The sequence below is a fragment of the Homo sapiens genome, chromosome 20 (assembly GCF_000001405.40).
Source record: "Homo sapiens chromosome 20, GRCh38.p14 Primary Assembly".
NCBI lineage: Eukaryota > Metazoa > Chordata > Mammalia > Primates > Hominidae > Homo > Homo sapiens.
The window spans coordinates 18,076,248-18,097,364 of record NC_000020.11 but is presented as its reverse complement, the minus strand read 5'-3'; the positions used below and the strand labels follow the sequence as shown (position 1 = coordinate 18,097,364).

Here is a 21,117-nt window from a genome sequence, read left to right as displayed (position 1 = left end):
GGCATGATGATGGTTACCCTTTTTTTAAATTTTTAAATTATTTTTTTAATATTTTGAGACAGGGTCTCACTGTGTCACTCAGACTGGAGTGCAGTGGCAAGAGCATAGCTCTGTAACCTCAAACCCCTGGCCTCAAGTGATCCTCCAGCCTTGGTCTCCCAAAGTGCTGAGATTACAGGTGTGAGCCACTGCACCTGGCCAACAGTAGTACTATAGGAAAGAGGTCGTGATCCAGACCCAGGAGAGGATTCTCAGATCTCATGCAAGAAAGAATTCAGGGAGAGTCTGCAATGCAAAGTGAAAGCAAGTTTATTAAGAAAGTAAAGGAATAAAAGAATGGTTATTCCATAGACAGGGCAGCCCTGAGGGCTGCTGGTTGCCCATTTTTGTGGTTAGTTCTTCATGATCTGGTAAACAAGGGGTGGATTATTCATGCCTCCCCTTTTTAGATCATATAGGGTAACTTCCTGACATTGCCATGGCATTTGTAAACTGTCATGGTGCTGGTGGGAGTGTAGCAATGAGGATGGCCAGAGGTCACTCTTGTCACCATTTTGGTTTTGGTGGGTTATGGCTGGCTCCTTTACTGCAATCTTTTTTATCAGCAAGGTCTTTATGACCTGTATTTTGTGCTGACCTCCTATCTCATCCTGTGACTTAGGATGCCTTAACCGTCTGGGAATGCAGCCCAGGAGGTTTCAGCCTCATTTTACCCAGCTCCTATTTAAGATGGAGTTTTCTGGTTTACACACCTCTGACAGTAGCAACCCTTGAAAGTGAGATGGTGACTAGATGGGGGTGAGGGGACTTTTGGCGCACTGGTCATGTTCTGTTTCTTGTCTGTGCATTGGTTACATGGGTGTGTTCACTTTGTGAAAGCCACTGAGCTATACACTTTTGATTTCTGCACTTTTCTGTATACATGTTGTATTTCAATACAAAGGTTTTTTTTGTTTTTGTTTTTTGTTTTTTCCTTTAGATAGACTCTCACTTTGTTGCCGAGGCTGTAGTGCAGTGGCATGTAGCGCAGTGGTGTGATCTCGGCTCACTGCAACTTCTGCCTCCTGGATTCAAGTGATCTCCTGCCTCAGCCTCCCAAGTAGCTGGGATTACAGGCGTGCACCACCACATCTAGCTAATTTTTGTATTTTTAGTAGAGACAGGGTTTTATCATGTTGGCCAGGCTGGTCTCGAACCCCTGACCTCATGTGATCTGCCTGCCTCGGCCTCCCAAAGTGCTGGGATAACAGGTGTGAGCCACCCCGCCCAGCCAATACAAAATTTTTTAAAGCAACATTTGAAAAATGTAGCACTTGCTCCTTCAACCTGGGTTGTAAAGTGAGGACAAAAGCAACCTGGAACAAGCCTCTAGCCTCTAGCTTACCTAAGCTGAACATGTAGTAGGAGAGAGAACTAAGTCTTTGTGTGTGTGTGTGTGTGTGTGTGTGTGTGTGTGTGTGTGTGTGTGTTTTAAGTCCCTAGAAAATAATGCAGCACTCTAGTCCTCCCAGTTGTCCTCTCAAATCTATTTTCCATCTTCCTGGATACATGGCTGCCTAACCAGTGGCTATATTTCCCAGCCTCTAATATTGGGCTAATGAGAAGTAGGCAGGAGTGAATGACCTGAGCCACTTCCGGCTATTTTGCTTTTGCCCTTTCTCAGGTGCATCAATGTGGAGACGGCAAGGACAGCAGCAGCAACAGCACCTGGGAGCTCGTTAGAAAGGGAAATTAAGGTTACAGCTCTTTTAGAATTTGTCTAACAGGTTTTCCTGTCTTCACCGGAACTCCCCAACTCCCAACAAAAAAGAAATGGCCATTCAGTTGACTCTTGAACAACGAGGGAGGGGCTGGGGTGCCACCACCTGCACAGTCCAAAATCTGAATTAACTTTTTTTTTTTTTTTTTTTTGAGACAGGGACTCGCTCTGTTGCCCAGGCTGGGGTGCAGTTGTGCGATCTCGGCTCACTGCAACCTTCACCTCCTGGGTTCAAGCGATCCTCCCATCTCAGCCTCCCAAGTAGCTAGGATTACAAGCATGCACCACCACACCCGGCTAATCCTTGTATTTTTAGTACAGACAGGGTTTCACCATGTTGGCCAGGCTGGTCTCAAACTCCTGACCTCAAGTGATATACCTGCCTTGGCCTCCCAAAGTGCTCAAATTACAGGCATGGGCCACCGTGCCGGGCCTGCATTAACTTTTGATTCCCCAAATACTTAACTACTAATACCCTACTGTTGACTGGAAGCCTTACAGATAACACAGTTGATTAACACATATTTTGTATGTTATATAAATTATTACTATATTCTTACAATAAAGTTAACTAGAGAAAACAAAATGTTATTAAGAAAATCATAAGGAAGAGAAAATACATTTACTATTCATTAAGTGGAAGTGGATCACCACAAACGTCTTCATCCTCACCATGTTCACATTGAGTAGGCCAAGGAGGAGGAGGAAGAGAAGGGCTTGGTCTTGCTGTATCAAGGGTGATAGAGGCAAAAGAAATCTATATATATATGTGGATCCACACAGTTCAAACCTGTGTTGTTCAAGGATCAACTGTTCTTAGTTCCCACCTGAGACCTAATGAATCAGAGACCCTGCGATGGAGCTCAGCAATTTCCGTGTAAACAAACCCTTGGGGGAATTCTAACACACTCAAGTTTGAGGACCACTGATTTAGAGGAGTCAACAAACGTTTTCTGTAATGGGACAGAGAGCAAATATTTTAGAGATTGCAGGCCGCACAGTCTCCGAGGCAACTACTTAGCTCTGCCATTGTAGTGCAAAAGTAGCCAGAAGACAAACTGTAAATGAATGGGTTAGCCGGATTTGGCCTAAGGTGGGACTCAGAGAATCAGGTATATGCTTAGAGTACAAGTAAATGCCAGGTAAAACAGTTTTCTTATCTTTGAGCAGAAGAATGTCCTCTGAGTCTCCCTCATGCCTCTTATCAGTCTTAACGTCTACTCTGAGCATACGGGAGTGACCAGTGCTGAATCCTTTATCCTCTGTAGCTGAGCCCTCCCTCCGGGTTCCTTACTTCTTGCACCCTGCAAAATCTGCTCTGTGAAATTCTATAATAACCCTTGTGTAAGTATTAAAGTCTACTAACAGCCAATAATGCCACTTTGGGCGGAGGCATTGGCATTTTAATTTGGGGCAATCCTCGTTGGGCAGGGAGAGGATTGTGTCCCAATACTGTCATGGGCCAACTGGTGGATCTGTGGAGTAGGAAGGGCTTCCAATTTCCCCAAAGTCGCTTTCAGGAGAGAGATTGCTTTCCTGTAATTCCCGATTTGTCTGTTTCGAGTTCAGATTTTTGCCGATTTTTTTTTTATACACTGAGTCTCACTCTATTGCCCAGGCTGGAGTGCAGTGGTGCCATCTCGGCTCACTACAACCTCAGCCTCTAGGGCTCAAGAGATTCTCGTACCTCACCCTCCCAAGTAGCTGGAATTACAGGCATGTGTTTGTATTTTTAGTAGAGACGGGGTTTCACCATGCTGGCCAGGCTGGTCTCAAACTCCTGACCTCATGTGATCTGCCCGCCTCGGCTTCCCAAAGTGCTGGGATTACAGGCATGAGCCACTGCGCCCGGCCAGATCTGCCGATTTTTAATCCCACCTGGGTTTAGAGTGAGTGCAGTGTTCGTATGGCACTGTTCGCAGTTTGTTCCGTTCTGGCTTCAGCGTTCCTGCAGGGAGCCCCAGCTGAACATACCTCCAGTCCCTCCTTCCCCTGGGCCTGATCCCCTGGGCTGGGAGTGCCTGGCACCCCCCAGGGACGGGAGCAGCCCAGGTGGGTTTCCCCTCCTATGCAAGCAGAGATCACTTCCCACCACGTCTGTCTGAACTGCACCTGCTCGGCCACAGAGCCAAGGCAGCAACCACCTCTCTCTCTGTTTCTCATAAGGGAGACCCAGGAGAAGGCCCTTTCTCTGTCTTGTATCCATTAGGCATCTTAGTCACAACTCAAAATGGGTTTAATAGAGAAGTTCCTGACTCGTTTCACTGAAAACTCTCGGGATAATTCTAGCTTGAAGCACAGCTTGATTCAGGGGCTCAAACACTACCACAGGGCCTGGTTTCTCACTCCATCCAGCAGCCCTCCTTGTTGGCTCCATTTTCAGACAGGCTGGCAGGTGATGGCGGCGGATCCAGGCTTCATTCTTCCAGGTGCACAGGGAGCAGGGCGGGCCTCTCTACCCGCTAAAGACTCCTCACACCTCATTGGCTTCGAACCGGTCACAAGCTGCCCCTAAGCCATTCCCTGTGGCTGGTAAAAGATCAATGCTGATTGGCTAGGTGTGATCCATGTGCCCTGTCCTGGGGTTGGGATGGAGCCACTGGAAGCACACAGAGGGAAAGTGAACGAGGGGTGTGTCAAGGAAAGCAGAACCCAGCGGCCCTTACTGAGAGAGTGGGACTGGATGAATCTTAATGAGAGGTCTCCCAGACTCTGTAGTATTTAATTGCAAGTAGTTTGAGAGATGATTTCAGGGAGTAGGGAAGCAAGATAAGAAAAGGAAGAGAGCCAGTAAAGAAAGCCGCGTTATCCCCCGGGCGCTGTGGCTCACGCCTGTAATCCCAGCACTTTGGGAGGCTGTGGCGGGAGGATCACGAGGTCAGGAGATCGAGACCATCCTGGCTACCACGGATGAAACCCCCGTCTCTACTAAACATACAAAATATTAGCTGGGCGTGGTGGCGGGCGCCTGTAGTCCCAGCTACTCCGGAGGCTGAGGCAGGAGAATGGCGGGAGCCCCGGAGGCAGAGCTTGCAGTGAGCCGAGATCGCGCCACTGCCCTCCAGCCTGGGCGACAGAGCGAGACTCTGTCTCAAAAAAAAAAGAAAAAAGAAAGCTGCGTTATCAAGCAAGTTATCTCTGCGGGCACCCGGAGCCCACTCCCCCTGGAGAGCTTGGGAGACGGTGTAGAAGATGCTTCAGAGTTCTCCCAACAGAGGGGCGAGAAAGCTGCAGTGCGAACCCGACAGCTCCTTATCTGTCATTGATACAGAACTTTCAGCTTGCCCTATTTGCCAGCCTAGCTTGCTCTTAAGGAAGGGGGTGGGGACAGGGAGGAGGAAGGGGTAGAGAGAGGGAGAGAGAGAACCTTCCGGCAGAGGAGGACTTGGAGGTGTTTGCAGTAGGCAGCCGTCATTGTGTAGGGGTGCATGCCACGGGGTTGTGCATGGCATATGGACAGTGTCTGCCACAGGGTGCTGACAACAAATGTCCTGTTCCTTTCCCGCATCCCATCCACCAGGAGTCTTTTCCCATAGCAAGGACTAGGGCCTTCTCTGGCCCATCTAGGAAAGACGCCATTCCTTCTTCCGATAAATGAAGGAGAATATCAAGCCCATAAACACAGAAATAAAACAGTACCCAGAGCTCCCCTTAACATTAAACATACCCAATTTCACAGGGACGGCTCCTGCAAAAGTAAGAAAGGTTTTGCAGGTACAGAGTCCTGGGCCAGAGGCTAAAGCTCTTAAACGGCGTGGTTGACTCATTGGGCAGGAACAGATAAGCTGAATTTGAGACAACTCCACCCAGACCATGTGGAACAGGGTTGGGAAAGGGTAGATATCCAGACAGAACTCCGAGCTGTCACTGGGAGTGGAGTGGCTGGACGCTGCACCAAAATTCCCCACAGATTTTGGCTGCAATGGCAACTCTTTTATTTGTTGATGTACAAATATACAACATCCATGAGTTCCCCAACACGAGTATGACAATTTAACCTCTTTACATGCCCTACTTATCTACTCTATTTCTCCCATTATTTTATTCTTAAATTCTATTAGTTACCTTTGTAACTTTAAAAAGAAGACCTTTATTTCTTTTTCTTGATGCATTAACCATATTTTTAAAAATATATTTTACTTTAAAAAGTATTTTATGGTCTATTTGCTTGGCTCTTGATGTCTGGCTCTTCTGATTTTGTTTTCTTTTTCTCTTTCTTTCCTTCTCTTCTTCCTTCCTTTCTTTCCTTCCTTCCTTCTTGCTTTCTTTCTTTCAGACAGAATCGTACTCTGTTACCTGGGCTGGAGTGCAGTAGTGCAATTTTGGCTCACTGCAACCTCCGCCTCCCGGGTTCAAGCGATTCTCTTGCCTCAGCCTCCTGAGTAGCTGCAACTACAGGTGCATGCCACCACACCCAGCTAATTTTTATATTTTTAGTAGAGACAGGGTTTTGCCATGTTGGCCAGACTGGTCTGGAACTCCTGACCTCAAGTGATCCACCCGCCTCGGCCTCCCAAAGTGCTGGGATTACAGGCATGAGCCACCGTGCCTGGCCTCTGATTTTGTTTTCTTTCAGAAAATATTTTGGCTGGGTGTGGTGGCTCACGCCTATAATACCAGCACTTTGGGGAGGCTAAGGTGAATAGATTGCTTGAGCCCAGGAGTTTGAGACCAGCCTGTACAACATAGTGAGACCCTGTCTCTACAAAAAATACAAAAATTAGCCAGGCATGGTGGTGCTCACCTGTAGTCCCAGCTACTCGGGAGACTTAGGCTTGAGCCCAGGAGGTCAAGGCTGCAGTGAGCCATGATCACGCCTCTGCACTCCAGCTTGGGCAAAAGAGTGAGACCCCGCCTTTCTGTCTGGCAGTAGCCATCAGGTAAGCCACGGTGGGTGCATACAAGTACATCCAGGAGCTATGGAGGGAGAAGCAGTCTGATCTCATGCGCTTTCTTCTCAGGGTCCGCTGCTGGCAGTACTGCCAGCCCTCTGCTCTCCACAGGGCTCCCCAATCCACTTGGCCCCATAAAGTGCGCCGACTGAACTACAAGGCTACATTATATATAGGATTCATGTGTGCGGTGATGGCCAAAAACACCCAGTTCCTAAGGGTGCAACTTACGGCAAGCCTGAACATCATGGTGTTAACCAGCTAAACTTTGCTTGAACCCTCAGTCCATTGCAGAGGAGCAAGCTGGACACCACTGTGGGGCTCTAAGAGTCCTGAATTCTTACTGAGTTGAAGATTTCACATACAAATTTTTTGAGGTTATCCTCATTGATGCATTCCATTAAGCTGTCAGAAGAAATCCTGACACCCAGTGGATCACCAATCAGTCTACAAGCCCAGGGAGACACGTGGGCTGACATCTGCAGGCCGAAAGAGCCATGGCCTTGGAAAGGGCCTTAAGTTCCACCACACTATTGGTGGGTCTCGTCATGCAGCTTGGAGAAAATGTGATAATCTCCAGCTCCACTGTTGCCACTGACATAAGTAAAGTTTAAGTTTGTAAAATTCATACCTAATAAACAATTTAGGACAGTCAAAAAATAAAAATAAAAAATAATGAGACCCTGTCTCACACAAAACAAAAATGCTTTGAAAAGTTTTTTATTGTTATTTTATACAGTAGAGACATACACTACATAATAATTAGCTGATCCTTAATAACTTGGACACTTGAAGGATTTCACTGGTAAACTGGACCTAAATCCTTTTTTTCTGTCTTTTTAAAATTGATATATCATAGTTACACATATTTTGAGAGTACATGTGATATTTTGATACATGCATACAATGTGTAATGATTAAGTTAGGGTAACGAGGATATCCATTACCTGAAACGTTGATCTTTTCTTTGTGTTGGGAATGTTACAATTATCTTCTAGCTATTTTGAGATATACACTAATTATTAACTACGATTTCCCTACTGTACTATTGGACTAGAACTCATTCCTTCTATCAAATTATATTTTTGTGCGTATATCCAACTTCTCTTCACCCCTACTTCCCCCTCCTAAGTCATTCTAAAAAGGTAATTTTTCAAACTTTGTTTTCACTTTATTTTAGATGTGTCTTTGTGTAAGGAGTTTATCGAGTTTTTTGTTTGTTTGCTTGTTTGAGACCGAGTCTCACTCTCTTGCCTGGGCTGGAATGCAGTGGTGTGATCTCAGCTGACTGCAACCTCCACCTCCCAGGTTCAAGCAATTCTCGGGCCTCCGCCTCCAGAGTAGCTAGGACTACAGGTGTGAGCCACTATGCCTGGCCAATTTTTGTATTTTTAGTAGAAATGGGGTTTTTCCATGTTGGCCAGGCTAGTCTCAAACTCCCAACCTCAGGTGATCTGCCCGTCTAGTCTTCCCAAAGTGTTGGGATTACAGGCATGAGCCATCGCGCCTGGACTGTTTGTTTTTAGATGAAGTTTCGCTCTTGTCGCCCAGGCTGGAGTGCAATGGCGTGATCTCAGCTCACCACAACCTCCTCCTCCTGTTCAATCGATTCTCCTGCCTCAACCTCCCAAGTAGTTGGGATTACATGCACGTGCCACCAGGCCCGCCTAATTTTTGTATTTTTAATAGAGACAGGGTTTCACCATGTTGGGCAGGCTGGTCTCGAACTCCTGTCCTCAAGTGATCCACCCGCCTTGGCCTCCCAAAGTGCTGAGATTACAGGTGTGAGCCACATCACCCAGCTAATCAACTGATTTTTAAAATAGGGAGATTATCCTGGAATATCCAGGCAGACCGAATGTGTTCATAAGGATCCTTAAAAGTGGAAGACAGCCTGGGCAACATGACGAGACCCCGTCTCTACAAAAAAATACAAAAATCAGCCAGGGGTGGTGGCACCCGCCTGTAGTCCCAGCTACTTGGGTGGCTGGGGCAGGAGAATCACCTGAACCAGGAGACAGAGGTTGCAGTGAGCCAAGATTGCATCACTACACCCCAGCCTGGGCAACAGAGCAAGACCAAAGAAAGAAAGAAAGAAAGAGAGAGAGAGAAAGAGGCGGGGGGGAGAGAGAGAGAGAGAGAAAGGAAAAAGGAGAGAGAAAGAAAAAAGAAAAGAAAGAAAGAAGAAAGAAAGAAAGAAAGAAAGGAAGGAAGGAAGGAAGGAGGGAAGGAGAGAAGGAGGGAGGAAGGAAGGAAGGAAGGAAGGGAGAGAGGGAGGGAGGGAAGGAAGAAAAAAAAAAAAACAGGGCTCAGTGGCTCATGCGTGTAATCCTAGCACTTTGGGAGACCTAGGTGGGCGGATCACCTGAGGTCAGGAGTTCAAGACCAGCCTAGACAACATGGTGAAACCCCCTCCCTACTAAAAATACAAAAATTAGCCGCGCGTGGTGGTGGGCACCTGTAATCCCAGCTACTCGGGAGGCTGAGGCAGGGAGAATTGCTTGAATCCGGGAGGCGGAGGTTGCAGTGAGCCAAGATTGTGCCACTGAACTCCAACCTGGGCGACAGAGTGAGATTCCGTCTCAAAAAAAAAAAAAAAAAAATGGTGGGAGAGAGAGGCAGAAGAGGAGGTTGGAGTGATGGACACGAGAATTCAGCTTGCCATTGCTGACTTTGAAGATGGAAGGGACCGTGGGCTGAGGAAAGTGGGCAGCCTCTAAAATCTGGAAAAGAGAAGGGCATAGATCCTCCCTTAGAGCCTGCAGAGAGGAATACAGCCTGCTGACCCTTGGATTTTATCCCACTGAGGCGCTTGTCAGACCTCTGACTCCAGAACTGTAAGACAGGAAGTTTGTATTGTGTTCAGCCATGACATTTGTGGTAATTTGTTACAGCAGCAATACAAATCTAATAGAAGCAGAGTATCTACATAATATTTTGGATTTCTTCTGCATAGGAAAGTTAGTTGTCTTTTCTCACTCATGTCTTCTGATCTTTAGGAATGTTGTATTTTTGTTCTGGTGAATATATGTAAATGTATGCAATATACTTAGACTCAATTCTCGATTCCTTTAGACATTAGATTAGATGTTCGCTTCCTGCTATGAACAATGGTAAAATTAGTATGCTTTTCTTCCTTTCCTTTCCTCTATCATCTAATGCTAGCAATAAAATTATCTTTGCAAATTTTAATTTTATACTATAAAATATGCTGTATTGCATTCAACTTACATACCTTCCCGACTTGACTCAGATGTGTATTCCCAGGTCCCCTCCGAGCCACAGCCAGTGATTCTAGAAGTATTCTGGCCTTCCTTGGGCTTCCACCATGTAGTGGACCGCTAGGTCAGCACCTGCCTCCTGGAAACTGGGTCAATGGTGGCCCCCCACCTTCACCATCAGCCTAGCTTTCCATCCGAGTTGAGCAAGCCCTACTTCTTTGGCCCCTCCCATTGTTAATGGGCTCAGCTAAAGCACAGCCTTGCGGGGCACAGGCTCTGACTTCTCCAGAAGATGCTAGGGGGAACCACAGAGCGCAGTTAACACAACAAAAGTTTACTACAAGTTCCTTGCGAGGGCTTTTTTAATAAGCTGTCTTGAAGTCATGAAACTCCAAAGTCAAAACTGTATATGGACTCTCAAATGATTTATCTAAATTGAAAAAGAAAATTAGTGTGAGTAAAGAGGTGTTATTAGACCAAAGGTAAGTATGAGATTGTATTAAGCCATCATGGTTCATAGTTATGGGCTAGTGGGAAAGATACTCAATTATAGCTAGGCAGTTTTGGTTCTTTAAAATTGTCTCCATTATGTAATTAGCACCTTTTAGTTAGCTCTCATGGACAATAATAGAAATTGCTATATTCCTAAATCCTTCCATATGTTATCGTTGGAAATCACTCAATAGATTTTTTTCCTAAGTGTTTTATTTTCCTCTGCTTTATTTGTTTGTTGATAGAGACAGAATACAAAAATAGCAAAACATACCTAAATAACTCGTGAGCCAAGGAAAGATTCACAATGGAAATGAAAACTGAATGACAAGGAAGATATGACATAGCATAATGTGTGGAATATAGCTAACACAGTACTTACAGGGAAATTTAAAGCTTAATAAATATATTAGAAAAGAAGAAATGGTTCTATCTCCAGAAGCTATAGGCCAGGCATGGTGGCTCATGCCTGTAATCCCAGCATTTGAGGAGGCTGAGGCAGCAGGATCATTTGAGGTCAAGTTCGAGACCAGCCTTGGCAACATAGTGAGATCCCATCACTACAAAAATTTTTTCAAAAACATTAACAGGCCAGGCATGGTGGCTCACACCTGTAATCCCAGCACTTTGGGAGGCCGAGGCAGGCAGATCACCTGAGGTCAGGAGTTTGAGACCTGCCTAGCCAACATGGTGAAATCCCGTCTCTACTAAGAATACAAAAATTAGCTGGGCCTCGTGGTGGGCGCCTGTAATCCCAGCTACTCGGGAGGCTAAGGCAGGAAAGTCTCTTGAACCCAGGAGGCGGGGGTTGCAGTAAGCCGAGATCGCATCACTGCACTCCAGCCTGGGTGACAGAACGAGACCCTATCTCAAAAAAAAAAAAAAAAAAAAATACCCAGGCGAAGTGGTGCATGCCTATAGTCCTAGCTATTCAGGAGGCTGAGGTGCTCGAGCCCAGGAGTTACAGGCTGCAGTGACCTATGACGGTGTCACCGCACTCTAGCCTGAGCAACAGAGCAAGACCCTGCCTCTTAAAAAAAAAAAAAAAAAAAAAAGGAAAAGAAAAGAAACTGTAAAAAGAATACCAGCTAAAACCCAAAGAAAGTTGAAGAAAGGACATAATGAAGACAAGAGGCATGGCAGCTGCTGGGTTGAAACCAGCAGCTTGGGGTCCACATATCAAGAGAATCTGAAGAGGCTCTACTAGATGTAGCCAATACACCTTTGTCTTAGTCATTCATGCTGCTGTAACAAAATGCCAAAGACTAGGTAATTTTAAAAGAACAGAAATTTATTTATTTTGGTTCTGGAGGCTTGGGAGTCCAAGGTCTGGGTCAGCACTGGTGTCCAGTGGGGGCTGCTCTTTACTTCCAAGATGGTGTCTTGTTGCTTCATCCTCACCGGGTGGAATAGAGGGGTAAACTCTCTCCGAACCCTTGTTTATAAAGGGATTAATCCATTCATAACAGTGGAGCTCTCATGACTTAATGACTTAATCATCTCCCAAAATGCCCACCTCTTAATCCCACCACAATGGGCATTATGTCTCAACATGAAATTTGGAGGGGACACCAGGACACCACATTTAAACCATGGCAACCTTGTTTCTTTTCTTTTGTTTTCTATTATTTTTATTATTTTTATTTTTTGAGACAGAGTCTCACTCTGTCGCCCAGACTGGAGTGAAGTGGTGCGATCTCGGCTCACTGCAAACTCCACCTCCCAGGTTCAAGCGATTCTCCTGCCTCAGCCTCCTAAGTAGTTGGGACTACAGGCATGCGCCACCACACCCAGCTAATTTTTGTATTTTTAGCAGAGACGGTGTTTCACCATGTTGAGCAGGCTGGTCTTAAACTCCTGACCTCAGGAGATCCACCCGCATCGGCCTCCAAAAGTGCTGGGATTACAGGTGTGAGCCACTGCGCCCGGCCCTTGTTTCATCTTTTACCCTGTTTCAGAATTATCTTTCTATTGTAGATGTGATCATCTACCCTCCTGCTCAAAGCTTTTCATGGCTTTTTATTGCTCATAGAATGAAGTCCGAATAATTTTGTATGTTCAGGGCTTTCAAAACCTTGCCTACCCTATCTTCCCAGCCATATTTCCTGTCCCTTTATTATCCCTGCAGGTGTCAGAGATGACTGGTGCTTCTCCAAAAATTTGTGCTGCTCATTCCATAGCATGGAGCTGTCTCTTAAAGATGGATTCCCATGCAGGGACTCCATTTCCCGCCCTCCTTGTATCTATGTGTGGCCAGATGGCTAATGCTTTGCAATAGAATGAGAATAGAAGTGACATGTATCACTTCTAGGCTGGAATTTTTAAAGTGGATGGAGAATCCTCATTTTTGTTCTTCTGCTGCTTGCTAGAGCCAAAGGGAACCAAGGTCCTAAAGATGGCAGAGCCACACAAGGGAAGTAGTCTGGGTCCCCAAGTCATTCCACAAAGAAAAGCTGCCTTGCTCGCCTCTGAGTTGGCTTCCTTTTTACCATTTTTTTTTCCATGCAGAGACAAAAATAATCTGCTGCAGATTCCAGCTCACATTCTGCTAGTTTATTAACTGCAGCTCAAAGAGAACTCAGGCCAGGCGCCGTGGCTCATGCCTGTAATTTCAGCACTTTGGGAGGCCGAGGTGGGCAGATCACTTGAGGCTAGGAGTTCGAGACCAGCCTCCCAACATGATGAAACCCTATCTCTACTAAAAATATAAAAAAATAGTCAGGCATGGTGGCACACACCTGTAATTCCAACTACTCAGGAGACTGAGGCAGGAGAATCACTTGAACCCAGGAGGCGGAGGTTGCAGTGAGCCAAGATCATGCCACTGCACTCCAGCCTGGGCAACAAAGTGAGACTCCATCTCAAAGAAAAAAAAAAAAGAAAAGAAAAAGAAAAAAGAAAAGGAAAAAAGAGAACTCATGTTTATCGTGAATCTAGCAAAAGTCATAGGCTTGATTCTCATGGGGCTACTTCGGGTCACATGTGAATCCCTGAGCCATTCTCATGTCTGAGATGTTTTGGCCTGGCGTAGGTCACTGACCCACTTCTGCAGTTGAAGGTTGGAAAACACATAGCCTGGGCTTGGAGGAGACGTGTTTCCCCCAGCAGGTATTGAGTATACAAAAAGAAGCACACCCATTCAGTGGGCTCAGGACTTAAAGAGAAAATATCGTCCTAGGGCTGTCTCAGGCCTTCTTCCATGCACAGGGGCGAAATCCCCACACAACTCTTCCAGAAAAAGACTGTGACTCTTTTCTTCTCTGAGGGACAGGGAGAGAATCCATCTCCTAACCACGTACTCTTCATCTTTCCTCGTGCCCTTCTATGGAGATCAATGATGTCAGAGACAGGTGGCCAGAGTTGCTGCTTCTTCCACCTTCCTTTCCCTTCCACACCAGGCTGAGGCCTGACATTTTTCAAGAGGGTGGAAAGAACTCTGCAGCATGACATTTGATCCAAGACCTGAAGGATGACAAAGGAGAGTGGGGAGACCATTGATAAGCAAGGCGCCGAGGTAAGAAGAAACACGGGTTGTTGGAAGAAGGGAAGGAGGTCAGTGTGGATGGATCAAGGGAGGCCAGGGAGTGGTCGGAAGGAGACAGGCTCAGATAGGGAGGCAGAGGCCTGATCAGCAGGACCTTGTGGGCTGGGGCAGGAGTCTGGATTCTTTTCTACTCATGGTGGAAAGTTGTTGAAGAATTTTTAAATAGCATGATTTATTCTAGCTTTCCAGAAGTTCCCCTTTCTTACTATGGAGAGAATGGATTGGAAGGCACAAGGCAGGAGTGAGGAGACCAGCTGGGAGACAAGCAATGCGGGAGGGTGGAGACTAGGATGGTGGCATCGGAGTGAAGGCAGGGTGGGCTGGCGTGGTTAGAGTTGACAGAGTGTGGAGGGGTGGTGAGAGAAAGGAAGGATCAAGCGTGACTCGGAGGTTTCTTGCTGCAGCTGCTGAATGAATGCTACTTATTGAAATGGGGAAGCCTGGGGCAGGAACATGGGGAAGGAGAGATTGAGGGGAAACGTCCAGGCCTTTTCAGACTTACTGGGATGTTTGTAAGACATTCAGATGAAGATACCAACAACTGGATCCGTAAGAATCTGGAACTCTAAGAAAATTTTGGGTTGCATTTATGACTTTGAATTCATGGGATTTAACACTAAGAAATGGGTAAGAGCTCCTTGGGACAGAATAAAGATAGAGAAGATGAAAAGGCCAGAGCCAAGCTATGAGGAAGAGTTGAGGATGAAAATCAAAGGGGGAAGGAGTTCCATGGAAGGAAGAATAAAGGAGAAAGTGAAAAGCATGGCACATATTGTAGAACATATTGAGGTTCTCAAACAATTATCAGAATCACCTGTTGAGCTTGTAAAGCCCAGATTTCTGGGCCCAGAGTTTCTGACTCAGTGAGTCTGGGGTGGTACCCAGGAATTTGAATTTTTGACTAATTCCCAAGTGATGCTGATGCTAAGAGCCTGAGGACCACATATTGAGAAGCACTGACAGAGTGACACTTTCAACATGTTTATTTATGAATGGGGACCAGAGAAGTAGAAGGGAGTGGGGATACAGTAGGATTTTTTAAGATGAAAGACAGAACATCTGTTTGCTGATGGAAGCGTTCCAGTAGAGTAGGGGAGATGAATGATGCAGGGCGGAAGGGGATAAGTGAAGGGACAGAGTCCTTGATAATTCAAAAGGGACCTGGGCTTGCATCATCATAAAGGCTTTGGCTTCCATAAGAGGATGGACATTCCTCCACAGTGGCAAATGTTACAGGTTTAGAGGAGTTGAGGTTGGAGACTGGGCCAGCTTCCATTAGGAGCTTCTACATTCTCAGTAAAGAATGGAGAGCTCACCTGGAAGCTTTCATATTCTTTATTCTCAAGGAAGAATGAAGGGAGAGTGGAGAAAATGGTTGGGGAGATTTAAGGCAAGGGGGAAAGGCTATGAACTGGTTCTCTTGGGGAGTGGGAAGTCAAGTTTCCTAACCTAGTGTAACAGAACTTTCTGGAATCATGAAAATGTTCCATAACCTGCGTTAGTCACACGGGGCTGCTTATATTTAAGTTAATTAAAATTAAATAAGAATGGAAATGTAGTTGCTTGGTCTCACTAGTTGCGTCTCAAGCAGCTATGGTCTCACAGAGCACACAGTTGGCCCAGGAGCTGTGTTGGGTGCGTGCTAGAGGTCCTTGAAACCAGCCAGCCATGCTTTGCAATTTTCTTCCAGCAGTGCTCACCAGTTCTGTAGCAGGCCCAGAGAAGGTGAGAGATATAGGCCCTCAGGGTGAGGTTTTTCCAGACAAGCAGGACAAAAGTAGAGAGGCCCAGAGCAGCAAGGGTATTGGGGAAGGAGAGATTATAATGCTGGGCTGGGAAACCTACACTAGGAAAGAACAGTGAAGTTGCAAGGGATCTATCTCATGTAAGATTATCTTACTTTTATCTTCACTTTTTCTATAAACTCTATCTCAGGGATTAAATTGTTGATAAGGGGGAAGTTTCTTTTTATGCAAGTATTCCAGCTAGTGAAGAAGGAATGATAGAATTAGAGGATCAACAATCTATAAATTCTGGCCAGGTGTGGTGGCTCACGCCTGTAATCCCAGTACTTTGGGAGGCCAAGGTGGGCAGATCACCTGAGGTTGGGAGTTTGAGAGCAAACTGACCAACATGGAGAAACCCTGTCTCTAGAAAAATACAAAAATTAGCCGGCATGTCAGTGCGTGCCTGTAATCCCAGCTACTCTGGAAGCTGAGGCAGGAGAATCGCTTGAACCCGGGAGGCGGAGGTTGCGGTGAGCCGAGATCACGCCATTGCACTCCAGCCTGGGCAACAAGAGTGAGACTCCATCTCAAAAAAAAAAAAAAAAAAGTCAATTTTGGAAAACACAAGGGACTAAGGAATATGTTAGCATCTGAGGTATAGAATCAGTAAAATCCAGACTGGAAAATTCTTCTGAAAAAACAACCTGCTTTCTTTGTTCCTTCCTTCCTTCCCTTCCCTGCCCTCCCCTCCCCTCCCCTCCCCTCCCCTCCCCTCCCCTCCCCTTCCCTTTCCTTTCCTTCCTTTTTTGGATGGAGTCTCACTCTGTTGCCCAGGCTGGAGTGCAGTGGCGCGACCTCGGCCCACTGCAACCTTGGCCTCCCAGGTTCAAGGGATTCTCCTGCCTCAGCCTCCTGAGTAGCTGGGATTACAGGCTCATACCACCATGCCCAGCTAATGTTTTTTGTATTTTTAGTAGAGACAGGGTTTCACCTTGTTGGCCAGACTGGTCTTGAACAACCTGCTTTCTTCAACAAATAAGTTGCAAGGGAAAAATAGAGATGGAGGAGGAACCTAAAAGAGATTCATGACACACATCAACAATAATCATACTGTGGCTATATATTTTTAGAATACAAACTGAAATAGTAACAGATAAAGTTATGCACCTGGGATATACTTCAGGATGAAATCCCAATGGATGGAGTTATTTGCTGATTATCATAGCTGGTGGATGGGTACCTGGGGCTTCATTATACTATTCTACTTTATGTTTATTTGAAATTTTTCATAATAAAAAGGTTAAATAGAAATAACACTTCCTACACTAGATACTATATCCAGATGGTAGCCTGCCTCGCTCCTTCCTTTCACAACCAACCTTCTTGAAGGAATGATCTCTGCCACTTCTTCATGTCCTTACCTTCCATTCGTGGCTTTAGCCACTGCAGCCTTGAGTGCCTCCACCAGAACTAAGGTCTCCAGAACCTCTAAGCCAGGGGACACTTTTCTTTTTCTTTTTTGAGACAGAGTCTTGCTCTGTCACCCAGGCTGGAATGCAATGGCGCAATCTCAGCTCACTGCACCCTTCGCCTCCCAGGTTCAAACGATTTTTGTGCCTCAGCCTCCGGCACCTGCAATCATGCCTGGCTAATTTTTGTATTTTTGTAGACACAGGGTTTCCCCATGTTAGTCAGGCTGGTCTTGAACTCCTGACCTCGGATGGTCCACCCACCTTGGCCTCCCCAAGTACTGGGATTACAGGCATAAGCCACCGCGCCCGGCCCAGGGGACCCTTTTCTAATCTCAACTCCCTCACTACACCTTCCTTTCCAAACGCTCTCCAAACCAGGACAGCTGGAATTGGACAGCATAGGACTCACATGTCAGCTGGCCACACTCTGGCTTGATGTTCTTATTGGAGAGCCTCTCTAAGCCTCCATCTTCCCATTTGTAAAATGATGATAATAACTGTGTTTCTCTGTCCTGAGTATCGATTCCTGTATAACAATCTACCCCAAAACTTATGGGCCTAAAACACTATTTATGATGATCTTTCATGGTTCCAGGGGTGAGTGGTCTCAGCTGGGCAGCTGTCACTTGCCTCATGCAGTTACAGGCAGATGGTGCCAGAGGTTTATGTCATCTTCACTTACATCCCCGGCCCTAGACTAGGGTGGCTGGAGCAGCTAGAGCTGGTCAGGTGTCACTGTCTCCATGAGACCTCTCCCTGCAGCTGGCTTGCGCTTCCTTTCAGGATACTCTGACCTCTTATATGACAACTGGCTTCCCCCAGAGTGAGCACTCAGGGAGACAGGAGGCAGAAACTTCTGATTTTTTATAGACCACAACGTGGCACAGCATCCCTTTTACTATATTCAATTGGTCAAAGCTGTCACAGAAACTGCCAAAGTTCAAAAGGAGGGGACAGTGAAGTACCAGGGAAAAAGTCTCAAAGTCGTTCAGCCTTGAAATAAACCCCATCTTCTATTGTAAAAACCTCTCTCTCTCTCTCTCCTCTCTTTCTTTCTTTTTTTTTTTTTTTTTGAGATGGAGTCTCACTCTGTCACCCAGGCTGGAGTGCGGTGGCACAATCTCGTCTCACTGCAAGCTCTGCTTCCTGGGTTCACGCTATTCTCCTGCCTCAGCCTCCCAAGTAATTGGGGCTACAGGCGCCCGCCACCACGCCCAGCTAATTTTTTTAATATTTTTAGTAGAGACGGGGTTTCACTGTGTTAGCCAGGATGGTCTCGATCTCCTGACCTCGTGATCCACCCGCCTCGGCCTCCCAAAGTGCTGGGATTACAGGCGTGAACCACTGTGCCCAGCTCTCTCCTCTCTTTCACTCGCTCGCTCTCTCTGCCAACATCCTTTAGATCAGAGTTTATCAAAATATGAATGTGTTAGATACTCATTTGGCTGCAAGAAGCGGCACTGGCTTAAACAATAGGAGGTATTTTCCCCTCATTATAAGCCTCTCATTATTACACCTCAGCCTCCCAAGTAGCTAGTACTACAGGTGCACACCACCATGCCCTGATAATTTTTGTATTTTTGGTAGAGATGGGGTTTCGCCATCTTGCCCAGGCTGGTCTCAAACTCCTGGGCTCAAGCAATCCTCCTGCCTTGGCCTCCTAAAATGTTGTGATTACAGGCGTGAGCCACCGCACCCACCTAATGTGATGTTTCAATACAGTATATAATGTGTAATGCTCGTATCAGGTAATTGGCATGTTCGTCATCTCATTTATCATGTCTCTATATTGGGAACATTTAAAATCCACTTTTCTAGCTATTTGAAAATATACAATAAATTATTGTTTATTATAGTCACTCTATAGTGCTGTAGAACTCTTATCTAGCTGTAGTTTTGTATTCAGCAACCAGCCTCTAGTCATCTCCCCCCTCCTCTGCTTCCCAGCATCTAGTAGCTATTGATCTACTCTCTACTTCTAGGAGATCAACTTTTTAAGCCTCCACACATGAGTGAGAACATGGAGTATTTATCTTTCGGTGCCTGGATTATTTTGCTTTTTTTTGAGACACAGTTTCACTCTTGTCGCCCAGACTGGAGTGTGATGGCACAGTCTCGGCTCACTGCAACCTCCACCTCCCGGGTTCAAGCAATTCTTCTGACTCAGCCTCCTGAGTAGCTGGGATTACAGGCGCCCACCACCATGCCCGGCTAATTTTTGTATTTTTAGTAGAGACAGGGTTTCACCACATTGGCCAGGCTGGTCTTGAACTCCCGCCCTCAGGTGATCTGCCAGCCTCAGCCTCTAAAAGTGCTGGGATTACAGGTGTGAGCCACCACACCCAGCCTGGCTTATTTCACTTAACATAATGTCCTCCAAGCTTACTAAGTTGCCACAAATGACAGAATTTTGTTCTTTTTAATTGCTAAATAGTATTCCATTGTATAGATATACCTGGTCTCTCTCTTATAAGGATATTTATATTGGCATTTAGGGCATCCCCTCCCAGATGATCCAGGATAATCTCCTCATCTCAAAATCCTTAATCCAATGACATCTGCAAAGACCCTTGTTCCAAATAAGGTAATATTCACAGTTTCCAGGAATCAGTGAATGGATATCTTGTGCCAGGAGAGAATGCATTTTTCAGCCTACCACAGTGGGAGTGAGCAAGGCGGAAGAGGATCAGCCTCTCTCACAGAAAAAGCCGTCTTCCTTTACAGGAGTGTTGCCCCCAAATCCTTTTTCTGACACCATCTGTAGGATTTTAGCTCCGTGGATGTAACTCCCATTCTACCACATGGTGGCTGTGAGAATGTGCCACTCACATCTCTGACTGCAGGAAATGCAATGGACTCAGGGCCTTGGCCATTGCACTCTGAACTGCCTCACTGCATTGGGGGTGAGGCTGTGCTTTCCATGGGCTGCTCCAGCCAGTGCCTGAGCACAGTAGGGTAGTAAGGTAGGCCCATTATGGGATCCTCTGACAGATGGCCGGCTGAGGACTCCTCAAAGGCCTTGCTGAACCTGTCTTAGAACTGCCCTGCAGACTAAGATGCTGCCACCCAGACTCCCTTCCTTCCTGCTCTTCGCTGCTCCCTGGGGTCAGCTCTGAATCCCAGTCTGACCACTCACAAAACCTTCTTCTGGCTCCCTCCTCATTTCTCTCACAGACATTCCCCCTAGTACATTTCTTGCATGTTTAATCCCTTCTTGGCATCTGCTTCTTAGACAATCTATTTACACTTAACTTTTCATTAAATAAATGTATTTAAGGAGGAATTCTATATCGCTACTGGAGATAGGAAGCCAAAATCACTTGCCATGAATAGAGGGGAAGCTGAAAATGCATAGATATAGACCAACAAAATAATGTTATTAAATTTTAGCCAGTTACTCATTGCTTACTTGCCAGAGGATCAAAGTCCGAGATTGGATTGCTCTTTAAAGGGAGTTTAGCCAGTGTTAGGAAGGTGTTAAAGACCTATTCACAGCTGGGCGCAATGACTTATGCCTGTAATCCCAACATTTCAGGAGGTAGGGGTGGATGGATTGCTTGAGCTCAGGAGTTCAAGACCAGCCTGGGCAACATGGTGAAACCCTGTCTCTACTAAAAATACAAAAATTAGCCAGGCGTGGTGGCATGCACCTGTGGTCCCAGCTACTTGGGAGGCTGAGGCAGGAGGGTCACTTGAGCCCAGAAGCTTGAGACTGTAGTGAGCCGTGCTCATGCCACTGCCTTTCAGCCTGGGTGACAGAGCAAGGCCCTGTCTCAATAAATAAATAAATAAATAAATAAATCACAAAAAACAACCGTATTCACATCAAACTAAGACTTTCCCCTGAATCGAATCAGAACTATCAACAGAGAATTAAAGAGAGAATAATTTTCTCATTTGGGGGTTCCATGTTAACATTTACCATAGACTAGTAAATACTCCTCAAACAGACATATAGCCATACACATGGTTGAAAGGCAGTAAAGATGAGTTAATTGTTGAGGAAACCT

General features: G+C 46.0%; 2 pseudogenes, besides 2 other annotated features; both read left to right on the top strand.

Annotated features, from left to right (window-relative positions):
* On the top strand, positions 1,733–1,794 carry RNU7-137P (RNA, U7 small nuclear 137 pseudogene; annotated as a pseudogene).
* Positions 3,625–4,196: an enhancer, noted in NCBI's record as "H3K4me1 hESC enhancer chr20:18073813-18074384 (GRCh37/hg19 assembly coordinates)". NCBI's record gives its function as "activates a minimal SCP1, AML or CMV promoter by ChIP-STARR-seq in primed H9 embryonic stem cells {active_cell/tissue: H9 hESC(primed)}" and the evidence as "EXISTENCE:reporter gene assay evidence [ECO:0000049][PMID:30033119]".
* Positions 6,303–6,803: an enhancer, noted in NCBI's record as "H3K27ac hESC enhancer chr20:18071206-18071706 (GRCh37/hg19 assembly coordinates)". NCBI's record gives its function as "activates a minimal SCP1, AML or CMV promoter by ChIP-STARR-seq in naive H9 embryonic stem cells {active_cell/tissue: H9 hESC(naive)}" and the evidence as "EXISTENCE:reporter gene assay evidence [ECO:0000049][PMID:30033119]".
* On the top strand, positions 6,614–7,306 carry RPL15P1 (ribosomal protein L15 pseudogene 1; annotated as a pseudogene).